This window comes from Homo sapiens, chromosome 5, assembly GCF_000001405.40.
Source record: "Homo sapiens chromosome 5, GRCh38.p14 Primary Assembly".
NCBI lineage: Eukaryota > Metazoa > Chordata > Mammalia > Primates > Hominidae > Homo > Homo sapiens.
In genome coordinates, this window is record NC_000005.10 from 11077165 (window position 1) to 11096940 (window position 19776).

Genomic DNA, 19776 nt, shown 5'->3' on the forward strand with positions numbered 1-19776 from the left:
GGCATTGTTCTAGGTACATGGGATATGCCAGCAAGGAAATAAGAGAACTCTCTGCTCTTAACAGGCTTACCTTACAGTGGGGAAAGATGGAAATAAAACAAGATGAATAAGTAATACATTATATATTAGAAGGTAATTGGGGCTGTGGAGAAAATTAAGCAGGGAAAGGAGCTGAGGGTAAGATTTTAAGTACGGTGGCCTGAAAAGCTTCTCTGGGAAAGACGTGAGTGAGGTGAGGACTGAGCTGCATGAATGCCAAGAGGAAGAGACTCCAGGAAGCAGCAAGTTCAAATTCCCTGAGGCAGGATCTCAGAGCATGTAATATAGGAATCACAGTCAACCAGTGGCCTCAGAAAATTTATTAATTTCCAGAGGACTAGGTGGGGTTGGAGAGGTCATAGGGAGCTTCCACATCTGCCCTGCAAAGACTTGATTTTACACTGAGATGAGGAGGGTTTGGTGTGAAGGAGTGACGTGCTCTGACTAAGGTTTCAACAGGATAACTCTGGTTGCCACTGCAATAGGAGACCATCTAGGGTGAAGGAAGCACAGGGAGACTAGGTAAGGGGGTGCTCAGGAATAAGCCAGGAGAGGGATGATGAGAGTTTTGGACCAGAGAGAAAGCAATGAAGATGAAGAGAAGTGTTAAAGTCTGCGAAAATTCAGAAGGACAACCAGATTTGTTGATAGATTAGGTATGAGGTGGATTGCATACGAGTCAAAGAAGACGCCAAGGTGTCTGTCCCAGGTCTCTGCAAGAATAACTGGTCATTTTCTGGGGGAATACTATGGAAGGGTCAGGTCTGGGAGAGACCTTGGTTGTGGACATGCTATATTTGAGACACTCATAAGACATCCAGTGGAGAGGATAGAGCAGACAGTTGGACACAGGATCTGAGGTTCATGCTGGAGATACCTGTTTGGAGTCACCAGAATACAGATGATCTTCAATGCCATGAAACCATATGATGTCACCCTAGCCTTCTGTGAGAGGTGATGGAGAGGAGAGGAGGTCCAAGATTAACCTTTCATTGTTCTTCACTCAAAGTCACTGCAGCTTTCTTCTGTGTATAAAGTTCTGTATAGCATTTTCCTACAAAAACCACTTGGGTACAGTATTTAAAGTAAAATAGTTAGCAAAAGTCGCATTTCCTCTCTCTTAAATACAATCCAATGTTGTTCTTGTCAAATTCTGCTATTCTCAGTCAAGAAAAAAATATTGATTTCATAAAGCCTGTGACTTAGATATTTTCCCTTCTACTTTCAAATGACTGGCTTCATTTCCCATCTGGTGACATTTGATAGTAAAGGTTTCGTTGAACACAGGCAGTATAGTGGTCTAAATATTCCTGTCTCCGAGAGAAGACTAGATAACTGGCTTTTGAGAAAGAAGAGATGCCTAGGAGCTGTCAAACCAATCAATAGTTCACTATTTTGTTATATTTTAATCCACCAAAAGAAAAAAAACACACATACAAACACACAATACCAAGTAGTTAGTATCCAGGCAGTAGACTGATTAGCTATTGATTTTTTTCTCCATTTTTCAGAGAAGGGATAGGATTTTATTGGGAATCCCAGTGCTGTCCTGTCTGAAACAACTGTGCAACGAAAAAAAGAAAAGAGTATATGGGAAGAGTACCTTGACCTTTGGAGCTAACGACCTACTTTAGATATACCAGATCTACACAATTCACAGATAACCCTTAAATTAAATGCAAACTAAGTGTAAATAGCAAGTTGCAAGCTTATTTCCCGCTGTATAATGAATTACAAGTATGGTGAATCTGTTAGACACAGATTTGCAGCCTGGCCTTGCAGTGAATAAATAAATGGCTGAAGAGCTGCAAATATTATGGTTTTTCTTGGAGGATATGATGGCTATTGTGAAATGGCAGGAGAAAAAGTGGCTGCTTCCCAGGTCATAAAAGGCTTAATATACCACTATCTGTAATTTGGATAGGGGAAAAAGAACCATGTAACTATAAAAACATTTTGTCTGCAATTTGGAGTCACACTTGGTCTTCCAGTTGCCCCAGGAATGGAATCTTGAGCTCTTTGCCTATTGTCACCTAATTTCTCCCAGTTCCCAAGATCACCTGCACCCTTGCCACGGGGGTTGGTCCAGCTCCCTTCTGCTGAGCCTCTGGATGCTACCTACTGACTTCTGTTCCCTGCATTCAGGCTGCCAGATTTCATGCTGTCATTGGACTAGTGACCCTACAGAAATGATATCCCTAACACCAGATGCCTACCAGCCAGACCAATGGCCTGTGGGGACTGTGTCATCCTCTGAGAGGTTTCAGTAGATTCATCTTTCTCCAGGAGATCAATCAGCCTTGGCCTTGGCATCTTCCCACCTACAGAGGGAGGCATCAGAAGGCCTCTCTGACCTTGGCTCCCAACACTCGCCCTGCCAGGTACACAAGGTCCCTTGAAGGCCTGGAGCCCACTGGCCTGCTCCCAGTTCCCTCTCCAGGGCCTTTTCCCTGGATTCTTTTCCCCCCAAATACCTGCATGGCTTCCTGTCTCATCTCCTTTGAGTCTCTAGTGTTACTTTTCCAACCACCCCTATCTTGACCTCGCATTGAAAATCACAACCCTAAACTGGATATCCACATATGGAAGAATGAAACTAGACTTTTACATAGAAAAATCAACTAAAAATGGACTCAAGACTTAAATGTAAGACCTAAACTATAAAAATTCTAGGAGAAAACAGGGGAAAAGCTATACGACACTGGTCTGGGCAATAATGTTTTTGGATTTGACTCCAAAAGCTCATGCAACAAAATAAAAGATAGACAAATGGGATTGCATCAAACTAAAAAGCTTCTGCACAGAAAAAAAATAATGGAATGAAGAGACAACCTACAGATTGGGAGAAAATATTATTAGTAACCAAAAATATAATTATGGGTTGATATCAAAAATATATAAAGAATTCAAACAATTCAACAGCAAGAAAACAAATAACCTGATTAAAAAATGGACAAAGGATATGAATAGACATTACTTAAAAGAAGAAATACAAATGGCTAGCACATATATGAAGAAAGGTTCAATATCACTAAGCAATGCAAATTCAAACCACAATAAGTTATCACCTCACACCTATCAGAACAGTAATTATCAAAAAGATAAAAACCAGTGTTGGTGAGGATGCAGAGAAAGAGAAACCCTTGTACTTTATTAGCGGGAATGTATATTAGTACAGCCACTACTGTACTGATTAGAAAAACTGTATATAGGTTCTACAAAAAGCTAAATATAGAATTACTATATGATCCAGTAATCCCACTTCTGGGTATATATCCAGAGGATCTGGTATCAGTATGTCACAGAACCATTTATAACTCTCATGTTCATTCCAGCATTATTCACAATAGTTAATGTATAGAAGCAATCTAAGTGTCCATCAATGGATAAATGAATAAATAAAATACGGTATATATACACAAAGGAATACTACTCAGCCACAGAAAGGAAGGGAATCCTGTCCTTTACAACAACATGGATGAACCTGGAGGACATTATGCTAAGTGAAATGAGCCACTTACATATGTACACATACCACATGATCTCACTTAAATGTAGAATCTAAAACAAATGAATTTATAGAAGCATAGGCTGGGTGCCGATGGCTCATGCCTGTAATTCCAGCACTTTGGGAGGCCGAGGTGGGTGGATTACCTGAGGTCAGGAGTTCGAGACCATCCTGGCCAACATGGTGAGGCCCCACCTCCACTAAAAAATACACAAATTAGTTGGGCATGGTGGCACGTGTCTGTAGTCCCAGCTACTCGAGAGGCTGAGGCAGGAGAACTGTTTGAACTTGGGAGGTGGAGGTTGCAGTAAGTCAAGATTATGCCACTGCACTCCAGCCTGAGCAACACATGAGACCCTGTCACACACACACACACACACACACACACACACACACTCACACACACACACAAACATGCTTTGTAGAAGCAGAAGGTAGAATGGTGGTTATGAGAGACTGAAGGTAAGAGGAATGGGGAGATGTTGGTGGAAGGGTGCAAAGTTTCACTTGAGAAGAACAGATTTTTTGAGATTTATTATGCAACAAGGTGACTACAGTTAATAATAATGTATTTTATATTTCAAAATTGCTAAGAGTAAATTTTCAAATGTTCCCACCAAAGATAAGATAATTATTTGAAGAGATGAAATGTTAATCAGCTTGATTTAATCAGTTCACATTGTATGCATTCAGGTTGAGAACCCCTTATCCAAAAATGCTTAGGACCAGAAGTGTTTTCGGATTTTAGATGTTTTCGGATTTGGGAATATTGGCAGAATACATACCAGTTAAGCATCTCTAATTTAAAAATTCAAAATTGGAAATGCTCATTGGAGCATCATGTTGGCACTCAAAAAATTACGGATTCGGCAGCATTTCAGGATTTTGGACTTCTGGATTAGGGACCCTCAACCTGTATATCATAACATCACTTTGTGTCCCATGAATGTCTATGATTATAACTTACTAGTTTACCATTAAAGAAACATAATCCTTATGCTAAGTGAAAAAAGTCAGACACAAAGGTCATATGTTCTATGATTCCATTTATACCAAATACCCAGAATAGGAAAATCCATAGACAGAGAGCAGATTGATGGTTGCCAGGGGCTGGAGAAGGGGGATGGAGAGTGATTGCTAATGGGAACAGTGTTTGCCTTTGGGGTGATGAAAATGTTTTAAAACTTGATACAGGTGGTGATTGTACAACATTATGAATATACTAAATGCCACTAAAATGGTAGACTTTAAAGTGGTCAATTTTATGTTATGTGGATATCTCAATTAAAAAGAAATTTGCAATCTCACTAATTACCCTTTACTCAGCTCCATTTTGTGATTCATTTGTTTAGTTTGCTTCTTGAACATCTCCTTCTCTTGAATGTAAACTCCACAAGGGCAGGGCTTTCTGTCTGTTTTGCTTATTGATTTAATCTCTGGGCCTAGAACAGGCCTGGAACAAAGCAGGCCATGAGTTTTGTTGAATAGACAGGTGAATGTATTACCTCTTTTGTGCCTTATTAATAAAAGATCCTCTGTATTTCTTGAATACCAAATTAAAGAGAGATAATTTCTTAAAAGAATAGGATTAAAGGGCTAGTGGTCTCATCCAAAATAAATTTAAAATAGAGAGGGGAAGAAAAGTAATCCTATCAGAATTCCTCAGTTCACTGCATGGGAAACAAACAAACAGCCTGTCAGAGATTCAGAGGATTGAGACAACGGTATCCTGTGCCGAGCATTGAGGTTCTTTTTAATTTGCAAGGATTAGAAATGTCAACGAGCATCACATTTTCCTCTAAATTCTAAAAGATGACTCAGTGCAGTGGATTTAAATCAGAAGGACAGCAGAAAAAATGAGGCTGCTAATAAATGCACGGCTTCTGTGTAAGCATAGGCTATGCATACGGGTTCAACCACACCTACCCCTAGAGAAAATATTTTCACTTAACACTTGAGACACTGTGAATCAGGGAGAACATACCGATGAGCTCCTTATTTCTGACGTCCAAGGCCATGTTCCGCAGCGCAGTGGCCACCGCGCACACCACACGGTCATTGTCTATTCGGAGCAGCTCCACGAGGATGGGCAGGCCTTTCTCTTTTCGGACAGCGGCTCGGATATATACTGACCACTGCAAAAACAGGGAAGGCGAAGGGCGTTAGAAACAGGAAGAAACCCTGCATGCAAATAGTACATTTGCGTTTTCAGGCGGCTGCTTACAGGAGCCAAAAAGGTTGAATTACCAAGACCTAGTTGTAGAATGGGTTGAATACGTTAGACATGCATTTAAACTTTTTAACTGTATTTTTTGCCTTCAACTTGGGGACAAAGATTTCAGGGTTAATCAGTGAACCACATTAGGTTTCTTTTGTGACACTGTTTTCAGTACTTGAAGTTGAAAGCCATTTGCGTGATGCGTATACTTGATGCTTCAAGATACAGAGGTTTGGGACAAGCGGATGTGGCCAGTGGCATTAAAGAGAAATAAAACAAGAACCCTGAAAAAGTAGAAAATGAGAATGGGTTGTGTGGGAGTGATTTCTCAAGACAGCTTTGAATTTGGAGATGGGGCACACAGGTGAGTTGCTGAACGTGCTGTCAATAAGTCGTTTGCTGAACAATAAAGAGTCAACTAGTCAGAAATAGGCAGGGGTGGATAAATGTAAATATGACATTGAAAAGCAAGAGTGCACATGGTAAAATGTTTTTTAAAAAACATTAAGGTTAAACTGTATAATGTTCAGGGCCATAATTCAATGTCTTCTTTATAAAGTAGGACATGAAATTTGTTTTGGGTTGGTGGTCGTCAGCCTTAATGGAACACAGGTAATGCGTCATATTAAAATGTCCTTGCAATATCAGGATGATAAAGCATTCCCATTCACTTAACAGAATGCAGGCCCACGTTTTCAGACATTTGTATGTATGATGTATACTCTTCTACAGTGTCCTGGAGAAGAGAGTACAATATAAAAATTCACAAATGTAAGGGTTTTACCTGTTGCAATTTCATTTTGATTTAAGAAAATTACATTCACGCAATGAGGCTGTGGATTCTGTGGTAGGGTCCTCCTGGGGACCAGTCCTTTCCCACCCAGTCCCCCCACCAGGCCACCTCCACCCCCCTTCCCCCATGGGGGCAGGCACCCCAGAGCTGGCTCTCACCTGTGGCAGGCAGGGAGCCCCCTCTGGCAGTGAACGTAGGGCATATGCCATGCCTGCCACATCCTCAGCCCAGCCCTGCATGAAATATGAAATCAAAAAAACAACTTCATCCTGTCCTACATTAGAAATCACATTCACACAGTTTCTTATCACCATCAACCCACACTGTATGCTTTTGTCTCACCTCTACTTTGTATCTCAAGCTCTAGGAAGCCTTGAGGGGGTAGGGAGCAGGTAAAGCTCACTAAAGCATCTCTTGGCTGCAGTGAACTATTTGACAGCTCCACTTTCAGGGAGCAAAGAAGTGGAAGGTTAGGAAGTGTCAGACATGACAAAACATTGAGGTTTGCAAACTGCTTCTTGGGATGTGGGAATCCGGAACTGATATCCCCTCCCAGGGAGGAAGCCCTTTCTCCTGGTACAATGCCAATTTCCATCGATGCATTTAACCGACATGCTGAAACATGACTTCCTGTGGACACATCTGCCTCCCCTACTCCTTGTGCCCTGCTGAGTCTCCAGTCCCCAGCTTGGAAAAGCCTGGAAATCTGAGCTTATGCAGCCCACTTAATCCTGGGATCTTCCCTAAAACTAAGGAGAGAAGCTAGAAAAAGGAAGAGAATGCAAATCAGGGTGTGGGGTCAACAATGACATATTGCAAAAGGAACATCAACAATAACTTGCAACATCGGGGAGATATTCTTGACCTTCTGGGAGATGGCAGGGGTACTCCTGGCAACTTAGGCAGGCTGATGCAAGTGCCCTCAGCCTGGTGGGGAAGAGATGAACTGGGGAAGATGAGTTCATCTCTTCCACCATACCACTTCTTTGCAGGCCCCATGCGACTGGCTTATATATTTGAGATCTCTTCTAATTCTTGAAACTCCAGGGAGGTCAGCATTTTTATTTTATACAGGGGGAAATTTAGGCACAAAGATATTCAATAACCTGCCCACAGGAGACACCTGTGCCCTTGACTCTGGGTCCTGTTACTTCATATCTGTCTTTTTTTATGCTGCTGACATTATACCCCCTCTACCATCATCTCATCCCCTCTCCTTTAATCCTCCATGCTCAGTCTCCCAGATATGACCTAGCCTTTCCCTCCATCCTTCCAGACACAGACAGAGGAGAACCTGGCCACATCTGAAATGAGCCAAGAATAAATGGACATAACTTTGTCCTTAGAAGTCCAGGTACTAGCCACACCCCCCAATGCTGGATGAAAAGGTGATTTGGTATTTGGAGAATAATGGGAATCCTTCAGCTTTGCTGGGAATTGATTTGAGAGCAACAATAACAAAAAAGGCTACTTAGGACCAAAAATGTGGATGATATAGAAACACATTTTTGATACGAGAAACTGGTGAGCAGTGATGTGTTTTCCCTAAGAAAGAAAGGATAACCAGACAATAGATTTGATATTTTTATTATTGAGACATAGAAAATAGCTTTCATTTTGAAAGGTTAGTTATGTGTATGTTTGTGTGTATATAGAAGATTTCCAATGTTATCACAGTAAATGAGACCAATTTGTCCAGATTTAGTAGGTCCAATACAAGAAGTCATGTCTAATTGGAATTTCTCGCTTGTGTCAGGAAAGGATCCCTTCCTGCAGGTGATGGGACAAAGCTTTTGCACTCCTCTTCCTGGGGAGAGGCTCAGGCCATTATTTGACCCAAAGAAGTGTTGTCAGCATGGGACAGAGAAGCAGCAAACATGTATTGTCTAAGGCTAGAGGGCACAGATCCAGGTAAAAGATGGAATATATTTGAAAGAGAATTGGAACAGGGAGAAAATAATTTGCCCTCTCCCTAGTCAATACAGAGCCTCCATGCTGGGGAAAGAAAGGATGCAGTTTGGAGAGGAAGCAAGAGATGCGGCAGCACTGTGGGGGCTGCCAGCTGATCCCTGGAGTCCTCCTGGACAAGCCCCCCTCCATGGATAAGGGGGACTGAGGATGACATCCCCCTTGAAGATGGGAGAATGGAAACTCCACAGTTTGGCTGCTCTTCTAGGATGACTGCAGTGGCTGAGCAAGACTCAGTGAAGTCTCCTGTACCATCCCAGAATGGCAGCCACAGGGCAGGAACAGTGACATGGCTTGCTGGGCTGGGGAGGGCTGGGAGGATTCGTGTAGCCCCAGTGTGGCAAGGGGTAGCTGCTGAGGGTGTTCTTGAATGGGTGGGGTGTGTAGGTTAGCTGAGGAGGAGAAACGAAGGACCCAGGGCTGCAGAGGGGTTACTTGGCCAGAAGGGAGGAGACACATCAGTGGAGCACATGGTGGGAGCAGACGGTGCCTCTCTGGATTAAGGAGAGGAGGTGGTTGGATTTCAGGGGAGCTCAAAAGGGATGGAGGCAGGTGTGGGCCAAGACAGGACCCTGGACCGGAGATGGTCCAATCACCAATCACCACGTCCATGTGTGTCCTGGAGAAGAGGCTGCATAGAACAGAGTTGATTCTACACTGAGAAATGGACACCACACCCCCATCCTCTGTGCGGGACTATACCTGTAAGACCCCCAAGTTTAGCACCAACTGCAGGGGCAGGAGAGGATGAAGGTGAGGAACGTAAAATGTGGCCACGCTTGCAGACTGACGGGACTGGGAAACAGCTGAATTTGACTGGGTTTGCCTAGAAATGTTGAGATTCACATTTCTTTCCTTTCTATTTGTTGGCATCAGGCAAATGAGGGCTCAGAGATGAACCTGAAGTAAATTAACAAAGATACTTGCACACAAGTTTGTGTCCCATGAAATTCCTAGTTGTATGTATTGAGAATTTGGTAACAAGGAGAAGTCAGTATCTTTTAACCCTTTAAGGCCAGACTGTCTCATTCTAATGTGGATTTCCAGGGATTTGACTTTTACAAATCCCAGCCCAGCTATAAATACAACTGATGGTCATAATTTTTCCAAAAAGTTCCCCCTTGCTGAAACTGAGGTGATTCTGTGAAGGCCTATTTGTTCCTGAAAGGAGATTAATACTATAATTTAACTAGCTTTTCCTCATTGAAATCCTAATAATTTGCTAAATTACAATGACAGTGTTTTCCTTTAAGTACTAAATATTCTCTTCTGAGGCTGAATCCATTATAGTGCTAAAATTCTGAATTTGTTGAATAATTCTCTATATTCTAAAAGTACTCTTGTGTTAGAAGTATAGTCTGCAATTAAATGATTTTCAGTTAAATAATCATTTGTGCATTAATTTTCTTTATCAAATTAGCCATATCCTCAGTTTTTCTTTTAACAAGGTAAAGTCAAATTTTAAAACCAAACTCTTCCAATGAAAAATACATACAATGAATTTGGTACAAATGGCATGTGATTCCTAAATTTGTTTCTGAATTTATTTACAATACCAGGGTGTCTCATTCCCATGACAAGAGGGTAGGAAACACCTCCTGCACTGAAAAGCTTATTTAGTTAGTCTTATTTTTACCAGTAGTTTATTATAAAAACAATGCATAAAATATTAGGAAACGGCATGGCTTTTGCTGTATGCCCCAGATTATTCTGTCTAGAATGGATTATTATTTGAATTACCAGATTCTCCCAGCTGGAAAGGAACTGTGCTTGGTTCCTGCTCTAGGATTTATGAAATAATGGGGTGGTATTAGCACAAGGTCCTTCAAATGATGGGGTTACTCTGCAATGGATATAGAAGTCAGGTGTTGGCTCTTCACATCCAGAGTTATGTTATGGATTTACATAACTTTGTTTTCAAAATTTCTAAATCTATTTTGAAAACTGGTATCTCTAGTCAAGATGACTAGTGAAGAATTCCATTCTGTTAGTAAAGAAATAAATCAATTTAATAAGCACAAATTTTGGTTAAGGCAATGGCAACTATTGCATGTTTAGTGTTTTTTGTTGCTGTTGTTTCTTTGTCTGAATTTTAAAAATCTAAGTCAAGTTAGGGCAAAGACTGAATTTTAGCCCATATGTTTATGCAATGCTCAAAATATTAATGTACAGGCAAGATAATTTCCTGGGGGGAAAACATTTAGATGTGTTTTTGTAGTAAGAACAAACAAAGAAGGTCAAGCTCAAGTAAAAGTGACCCAGAGGAAGCATTCACTGAAGAGATTGGAAGAAGCATACTCATTCCCCAACTCTCAAGCTATCTCAAGGATTAGTAATTTTCAATTAAAAAATTTCTTTAAAAAAGGAAACTTTCTGAACATGAAAAGGTTTTTTGTTTGTTTTTACTGTGGATGTAATCAAATATTAGAGATGTCATCCTTGTGTGCAACTGGTATCTAGAAATGCCTTCTGGGGAACTAAATACAACCCTGTTAAATGATAGACAGTGCATGGTATGAGACTCAGGCTGCCTCAGATCTTATTCTGAGACCCCTGTGTGTTCCTTAGTAACAGTGATGCATGAATACACCATTGAGAAGGGGAAACTGACCACAGTGGAGGTCCAAAATGAAACTGCTCACACTACTACCCTCTAAACAAGAGTGGTGGTTGAGAGGTGCAGGCTCTGAGCCACTACATTCACAGACATGGAAGATTTGGTGATATTTTTATCCAATTTAGGAAAATAAAATTAATTCAGTTGTTTCTTGTTCTAAGTTAATAGGCACTAAGTCAGAAAACTTTTCATCTACATATTTTTTTTTCTCTTTAAACATAGTGCCTCATGGGTGGAAGTGATCTGGACTTCATGTTTTTCTTTTGGAACCAGAAAACATGCCATTTTTGGAATATTAAGCAATTTCTTTCTTTTGGATATGGGGAGGGAGAAATCTGAAATGTATCTTTAGGGCACAGTTTGGAGGGGCCCTATTGATAAGCCCTTTCAGTCTTGCAACTATAAGGCAAAGTTTTTGCTGAAGTCTTAGGTAGTAAGTTAACTACAGTGCAATTATATTTTACTAAGATAGTGTGTTTTATTTTCTAATAGTCTAGTATAAATCTAATATATTAGCAAATTCTTCAGAAGACAGAATCTTATTTTTCTTGGATCTGGATTTAGATGACCTTACTGCAAATTATTATTGATTGCTGGTAGGGGATGAGTTTATGAAGACATCTGTGTACTAGAGGCTAGGAGCTGAGCCCAGCCTATGAGAAGGGACATAGAGCTGTGATCTTGACTTTCATAAGAGAACATATGTTGTTATGAACTTGTGTTTTTGCTGCTGTTGTTTTTGCTTCCTGCTGGTGGATAGTGATGACAACAGCAGTCCTCTAAGTCACACATTGAAGATGGCAGAACAGCTATCAGCCTGGGTGAATTAATTCGTGGAGGGGAACTTCTGCCTTAACCTGCTCTTAACTGTGACATCAGGAGAAAATAACTTATCTCGCTTGGGTATTTGCCTATGTGGGGGTCTCTTTGTTATAGCAGTTAGCACTCTCCTAAATACTATGCTAGTGTACTAAAATAAACTCTCAATCATGGAACCCTAGCCCTAAGGCTTTAACAAGCAATGCTGGAAGTGTGCTTCCTCACCTCCTCCACTTCATTGCAAAAACAACCTCATGGATGGCCCTGTGCCGGCACATACTGCTATAGCAGCATCTGTAATGGATTTTGTAGACACTTTGTTTACATGTTTACCATATTGTAAGGGAAGAGACCGAGTCATATTCATCTATTTATCTCAATTGTCTTGTCTTTTTTGGCCCACAGTTGGAGATTTTAAACTGTTTAATTGATGAAAAAAGATGTCAGGTTGATTTACAGCATCAAGTCTGATGATTTAACAACAGCATTCTGCACAGAGGGGAACTATGCAAAAAGGATCAAAGCCACTGAAATTACTAACAGGGCCAAAAAATTCTAACCACTTCCACAAAACGACTGCTAGGGTTTAAAATGGTTACACAGCTGGGCACAGTGGCTCACGCCTGTAATCCGAGCACTTTCGGAGGCCAAGGAGGGCGGATCACTTGAGGCCAGGAGTTCGAGACCAGCCTGGCCAATATAGTGAAACTCCATCTCTACTAAAAATACAAAAATTAGCTGGGCTTGGCCCAGGCTCCTGTAATACCAGCTCCTCGGGAGACTGAGGCAGGAGAATCCCTTGAACCAGGGAGGCAGAGGTTGCAGTGAGCCAAGATCCCACCACTGCACACCAGCCTGGGTGACAGAACGAAACTCTGTCTCAAAAAAAATAAATAGATAGATAGATAAATAAAATGGTTACATGCTCCTTTGGGAGTGTGTTCTAAAGCCAAACAAATCCCTTCATTCTGAGGCCCCTGGTGTGGTGCTGGAACCTTTGACTCAGGGCTTATGAATACTTGTTTGTCTCCAGGACTGAAGAACAGAATACTGAGGTGGCATGTCCGGAGCCACCATAGCGCTGTGATCATGCTGTGTCAATTTCATCTAAGTTTTTGTGTTAGAATTCCTCTGTGAAGTTGACTGCTCAGGTGACAGGTTAGCCCATGTCTTAAACTGGGCTGAAAATGGGTTTCATGTACAGGTAGTTTTACAAGTGCTCTCAGTGCAATTGGTGGACTAGGACTTCCCATTAGGGCAGAAGGCCCCAACCCCCGGGCCGCAGACCAGTATTGTGGCCTGTTAGGAACTGGGCCGTACAGCAGGAGTTGAGTGGTAGGTGAGTGAGCATTACCGCCTGAGTTCTGCCTCCTGTCAGATCGGCAGCAGCATTTGATTCTCATAGGAGCACAAACCCTATTGTGAACTGTGCATGTGAGGGATCTAGGTTGCATGCTCCTCATGAGACTTTAATTCCTGATGATCTGAGGTGGAACAGTTTCATTCCAAAACTATTCCTCGCCCCATTGGATCCACGGAAAAATTGTCTTCCACGAAACTGGTTCCTGGTGCCAAAAATGTTGGGGACCACTGCTTTAGGGATAGGCTGTGTCTGCTAGACACCAAACTAAAAGTCAATTTAATATATGATTGAGCCCAGTAAGTTCAGCCTTTTTTTTCTTTTTTTTTTAGTGCTTTATAGATGCTGCCTCCCTGTCTTCTCACTGGCGTTGTTGCTGATAAGAAATCTGCGGTCTTCCTTATCTTGTATGGAACATGTCTTTTCTTCCTCTGGATGCTTTGAAGATTTTCTTTTTATTGCTGACTTTGAGCAGTTTGATTTTGATGCACCTTGGTTTTATTTCTTCATGTTCCTTGTGCTTGAGGCTGTTTAAGCTGCTTTGATCTGTGAGTGTATGAGTTTCATTAAATTTGGGAAATTTTCAGTCATTATTTTTTCAAAAATTTTTTCCTATTCTCTTCCTCCTTTCTCTGTCCTCTCATTAGGGTACTCTGTCTACATATAGCGGGTGCCACTTGACACCCACAGATGATCTGTACCTTTCTTTTTTCTTTCTGTGTTTCATGCTGGATAGCTTCTATTGTCTTCAAGTTCACTGATCTTTTCCTCTGCAATGTCTAAACTGCTGTTAATCACACCCCATGTATTTTTCATTTCAGACACTGCATTTCAGACTCTAGAGGTTTTATTTGAGTCTTTTATACATTTTCCATGTGTAACTTTTAAAATGTTTTGAACACATGGAATACTGTTATAATAATTGCTTATTTGATAATTTTAACATCTGTCAGTTCTTAGTTTTCATTTATTTATTTTTCTCCTTATTATGGATTGCATTTTCTATTTACTTGCAGGATAGTTTTTAGTTGTATGCCAGACATTCTCAATTTTAATTTGTTGGGTGCTGAATATTTTTGTATTCCTACGGGTATCTTAAAGCTTTGTTCTAGGATGCAGTTAATTTACTTGGAAACTGTTGATCCTTTTGGGTCTAATTTAAGATTTGATAGGAAAGACTAGAGCATGGTTAGTCCAGGGCTAATTATTCCTCTGTACTGAGGCAAGACCCTACTGACTATTCTCCCCAGTGGCCCATGGATTATGAGATTTTCTTCTCTGGCTCTTGAGAACATGCACTATATGCACCCCCACATGAGTGTCCGATTTCATTCTCCCTAATAATTTCAGGTGTTTCTTTCCCAGCCTTGGGTATTTGCCTCAGACACATGTGCTGAGAGTTCTCTGTTGAATATTTAAGGGGAGTCCTCTGCACATCTCTAGGGTTCTATGTGTGGCTCTCTCCTCTTTGATATTTTGTCCTATGAACTCTGATCACTTTGATATCTCCCGATTCCCCGATCCATCTCCTGAACACAGTGAGTCTACCGAGATCCCCCTGGTCCCTCAATCTTCATACCATGGCTTGGAAACTCTCTCTCAAGGTGGTGAGCTGAGACAATCAGAGGACTCACCTTCTTTTGTTTCCTGTCTTTCAGAGATCATTGTCCTTTGCTGACTAATGTCTAGTGTCTTACTAAAAAACCCCAATGTTTCACATATGTCTTTTCTTTGTTGCTGTTGTTTTTCCTTGAAGAAAGGTAAATTTGAACCTTGTCATTCCATCTTGGCATCTTGGCTGGAAGTGGAAATCCCTCTGGTTCAGCTGTTTCTACAACTTTAAAGTTCTGTAATTTAGAACTTTAGAAATCAGATCATCCAATGACAGTACTAAAATTAATGCAAAACTATTAAAAATGGGTTTTCTCCATTTATCGATTTGGATGCATGTGGCATTTGCAACACAGATGTGGTCTTTGCTATCCGTGCTGCTTCCCGGGTCTTGCAGGGAAGAAATCACTGAGTCCTGTGATTAGGACCAATGACCTGGTTGTGGCCATGCTCCTCCCATCTCCTGCTCCACAGAGTGGGTCTGTTCTTGTCCTGCAACAGACTGGTCATTGCCTGTGTCTGAGTGTACCATCTCCAGGACACTGCTGACTAGACAGGGTGCTCTGATCACCTCTGTGTTTATACTGGCCTAGTTTCTAATTGATGAGGCACGATGCTTCGCGTTGTATTTTCATCACAGTCTTTCAAAACTCTGTTTCTTTACATTTAAATCTAAAGCTTGGCATCACACCATTAACTAGAACAAAGACAAGTCACTTTGTCTTAGACAATAAACCATGATTCTTAACTTGCGTTTGATAGACTCCACTAATCTGCCCTGGTTCACTTTTACATGATACACTACCTACTAAGCTATGCTAAAGTCAGTCTTTCTCAAGGCTGTTATCTCTCTCTCTAAGGACAAGTCTCTAATTTCCCAGTTCTCTTGCATTTTTTATTCATTTGGGGCACACGGCCAGAGATTCTGTTTCCTTCTTCACTAAGTCCATGTTGCTATTACGTTAGCTCATTAAATATTAATAGATTAACATCCAAGTCTCTCTTTGTTCTGTCTTATTTTTAAAATAAATGGCAAATAACAGATGCTTTGAAAAGAGTCACACTTTAGGAGGAAAACTGAGTGTACAAAGATTTTAAAATGTTTGACTTCATAGCAAGTACAGATATATTTCTACAGTTCAAATCCTGGGTTTTCAGAAAGCTCAAGTACAATAGAAATAATCCATAAACGGGAGTTAAAAGAACATTCGTTCACATTTTGGAAATCTTCAAAGCACTATACCCAATTGTTTTAATAGTCTGCAACAAACAAAATCACTGTACTATAAATGAGAAAAAGGTAACTGAAGTCCATGTTGGCAATGAAAAACATTTATCACTTTGCTTCTGCCATAATAACATTATGTTTTTCTGATGCTCATAAACCAAGTAATGAGTGTTTTAAAGTTTAAAAAGTGTTTAGGGCCATTATGAATATCTAGTTTGCTAGTCAATTTGTCACAGAAAAAGAGTGTGCATGATCTTCCTATAAAGAGAATTTATTGTTTTAGATGATGAGGTCTATAAAAAGCTGTCTCCATGCAAAATTATAGTATTTTACCTCTACATTTCTGTTTTTGTTGGGTCATAAAAAGTTAAGAACACTAAAGAAATACCACTAAATTTTAACAGTTGCTATAAAAATGCATTCTTTGAATTCTAGATTTCAGATGGTAACACTATATGCTGTTGTGTATCCTAACTCAATCTTTTAATAATTCAATACTTTTTTCTGAAATCATCTTTTTAAAAGTAAGGATTTATCTGTTTGGTTTCTGGACAACTCATCCTTTGTCTTCTTGAAATTATAATAATTCATCATTGCTTGGCTTCATGATAATCTTCTGAAATCTTCCCTAAGAATTGTCCACTTGCTCTTCCCATGAAACATGGCAAAATAGTATATTATACAAAAGATGATGATAATGTGACTGATCCCTATATGTGTACTTGTATTTTGATAAGAAATGTTTATATATGTATGTACATATTTATAATTACTCCCAAATATTACTTATCAGCCTCTCGTCATGCCTGAGAACTATCCCATTATCTAGAATTATTAGGGAAGCAGCGCTTCTCATAAGCAAGACTGACATCCTAAGAGGCAAAATCCTACTTTAACCATTGGGATGGAAATCTTTTGCAAATGCTTTCTGTCTTCTAAAATTACTAGTAATAACATTTTCTTGATGACAGAGGGCCAACTTTATGACTCGCAGAGTAGATGGAACAGCCATGACATTAAATGGTCTCTGACAGTTTTTCTTTCTTGCATTCTTATATTCAGTTTTCCTAACTCCTCTGTCTTTTCTCTTTGCCACCACAGTATCTACTCTCCCTCCTTATGATGGTCTATGTGTCTGCTTACAAGAGTTCTTGCTTTTTTTTTTTTTTTTTTGAGATGGAGTCTCACTCTGTCACCAGGCTGGAGTGCAGTGGCGTGATCCTGGCTCACTGCAATCTCCGCCTCCCAGGTTCAAGGGATTCTCCTGCCTCAGCCTCCTGAGTAGCTGGGACTACAGGCACACGCCACCATGCCCAGCTAATTTTTGTATTTTTAATAGAGACAGGGCCAGGATGATCTTGATCTCTTGACCTCATGATCCATCCACCTCAGCCTCCCAAAGTGTTGGGATTACAGGCGTGAGCCACAACACCTGGCCAGTTCTTGCATTTTTTAACATGTTGATTTCCGATAAGGACAGGGAAATCTATGGTCGTCATTGTTAAGCTTTGTCTAAAACAGAACAGCTTCTGTTATGCTGACTTTGGCTATTCTAGACCTTTCTGCCATTTTCCTATTATTCTCTACTCGCTTAGCAGTAGAGAAATTTACCAAAGAAATGCGCTCTGGATATGTGGAATAACTGTGCTGAACTAATGCACAGATTTATTGTGCTGGAAACAGTAAGAGGCTATTGCCAGAAAATATTAAGAATAATTATCATACTTCTTCCATAATTCCCATTATGTAAAGTAGAAGAGACTCTTAAAATATAAAAATAGTAAATGCTTTTTAAACTTGTCATTTTCTTACTCTACACACCTAAAGATCCACACATATCTAAGCAGTTCTTGCAGCTGATCTGGTTGCCCCTGAGATACGGAACCTGCAAACTTACACGGAAATCTCAGCACAGTAGGAACCGCAGAACTGGCCCTTTGCTACTGAGCTCTGCAACCTGCAAAACATTGTTCAGTCTGAACACTGAAAAGAAAATGGTTCTCTCATAACTTCTTTCTATCAATTTTACATTGTATTGACAGTATATTGCCAGCTGAACCAAAGAATCAAAATATCATAAAATGTGACCATCTGAGGATGGCCTGGAACATAATATGTGCTACCAAATTCTTATTGACTAGTAGACATTAATAAATAGAAAACACTGCAACCCTCAAGGAAGACATATAGACATGGATAGTAATTGAGAAAAATAATCACATTTGAATTTTTTCGCTCAGCCAATCACAGGGGTAGTCAGTGGGACAGAAAGATAAATGGGGCTTGGTCTGCCCATAAGGGGCGTACAGACTAAATTCTCTTCTAGAGGACAGTCTTAGCAGCTCAGAAGGAATCATTGTATGAATGAATGATTAGTGCCACTGATCCTTAAATTTGGTGTTTAGATGTGGCGCAGTTCTTTGTACTTTAACATGTCTTTTTTATCTGTCCGCTTTTAGGATTTTTTTTCTTTGTTACTAATTTTGAGCAATCTGATTAAAATATACCTTGGTATTTTTTCTTCCTGTTTTCTGTGCCTGGGGCTCCTTGAGCTGCTTAGATCTGTGAGTTTATAGTTTTCATTAAATTTGGAAAATTTTCAACCATTATTTTTTAAAATATTTTTTTCTGTTCTCTTTCTTCTCTCATTTGGGGACTCCGTTTACACATATATGAGGTCACTTGAAGCTCACTGATGCACTGTTCATTTTTTCTTCTTTTTTCTTTGTGTTTCATTTTGGATCATTCCTATTGCTGTCTTCAAGTTCACTAATCTTTTATTCTGTAATCTTATAATCTGCTGTTAATCCCATTCCACATAATTTTTGTTCAGGCATTATATTATATTATATTTATTATACTTTAAGTTCTGGGATACACGTGCAGAATGTGCAGGTTTGTTACACAGGTATACACATACCATGGTGGTTTGCTGCACCCATCAACCGTTATCTACATTAGGTATTTCTCCTAATGCTATCCCTCTCCTAGCCCCCCACCCCTGCCAGGCCCCGGTGTGTGATGTTCTCCTCCCTGTTTCCATGTGTTCTCATTGTTCAATTCCCACTTACGAGTGAGAACATGTGGTATTTGGTTTTCTGTTCCTGTTTTAGTTTGCTGAGAATGATGGTTTCCAGCTCCATCCATGTCCCTGCTAAGGACATGAACTCATCCTTTTTTATGGATGCATAGTATTCCATGGTGTAAATGAGGCATTATATTTTAATTCTAGAAGCTTGAGTTTGTTCTTTTACATATTTTTCCTATTTCTACTTTTTGAACATATGGAATATAGAGTTGAAAGGTTGAAGTCTTACATTCAAAATCTTCTAGAGGCCAAAGATATTTCTCCACTTTTAAGTTGTTATTATTACATGATAATGAAATAAGTATTTCTCAAGGAAAATGATAATTGATAAAAATAAAGGAAGAGAGAAAGAAGAGAGAGACAGAGGGAGGGAGGAAGAGAGAGAGAGACAGAGAGAGAGAGAGAGAGAGAAACAACATCTTAAGATGGCACACCTGATTTGCCACAATCTAGATCTTTGTGTCTTAGTCAGGCTGATGCCTGAAGCCCAGAGCCCATTTTCCTGTACCCATCTAGTTAGTGCTGCA

At 40.1% G+C, this 19776-nt stretch overlaps 1 protein-coding gene across 12 annotated transcripts in view; it reads right to left on the reverse strand.

Moving 5' to 3' along the window:
- CTNND2 (catenin delta 2) overlaps positions 1–19776 on the reverse strand; it is a 932611-nt gene that overhangs the window by 105329 nt on the left and 807506 nt on the right. For 7 of the 12 annotated variants that reach the window (NR_109988.2, XM_017009072.2, XM_005248251.4 and 4 more), the window contains 2 exons: positions 6717–6791; positions 5532–5682 (listed from right to left, as the gene is read on the reverse strand). Coding sequence is in view for 11 of the 12 variants with exons in the window: in XM_017009072.2 (XP_016864561.1) it covers positions 5532–5682; positions 6717–6791 (226 nt within the window). In the remaining variant the exon portion in view is untranslated. The remainder of the gene's footprint in view (positions 1–5531; positions 5683–6716; positions 6792–19776) is intronic. The other 5 variants (XM_017009074.2, NM_001288717.2, NM_001332.4 and 2 more) reach the window with 1 other exon arrangement.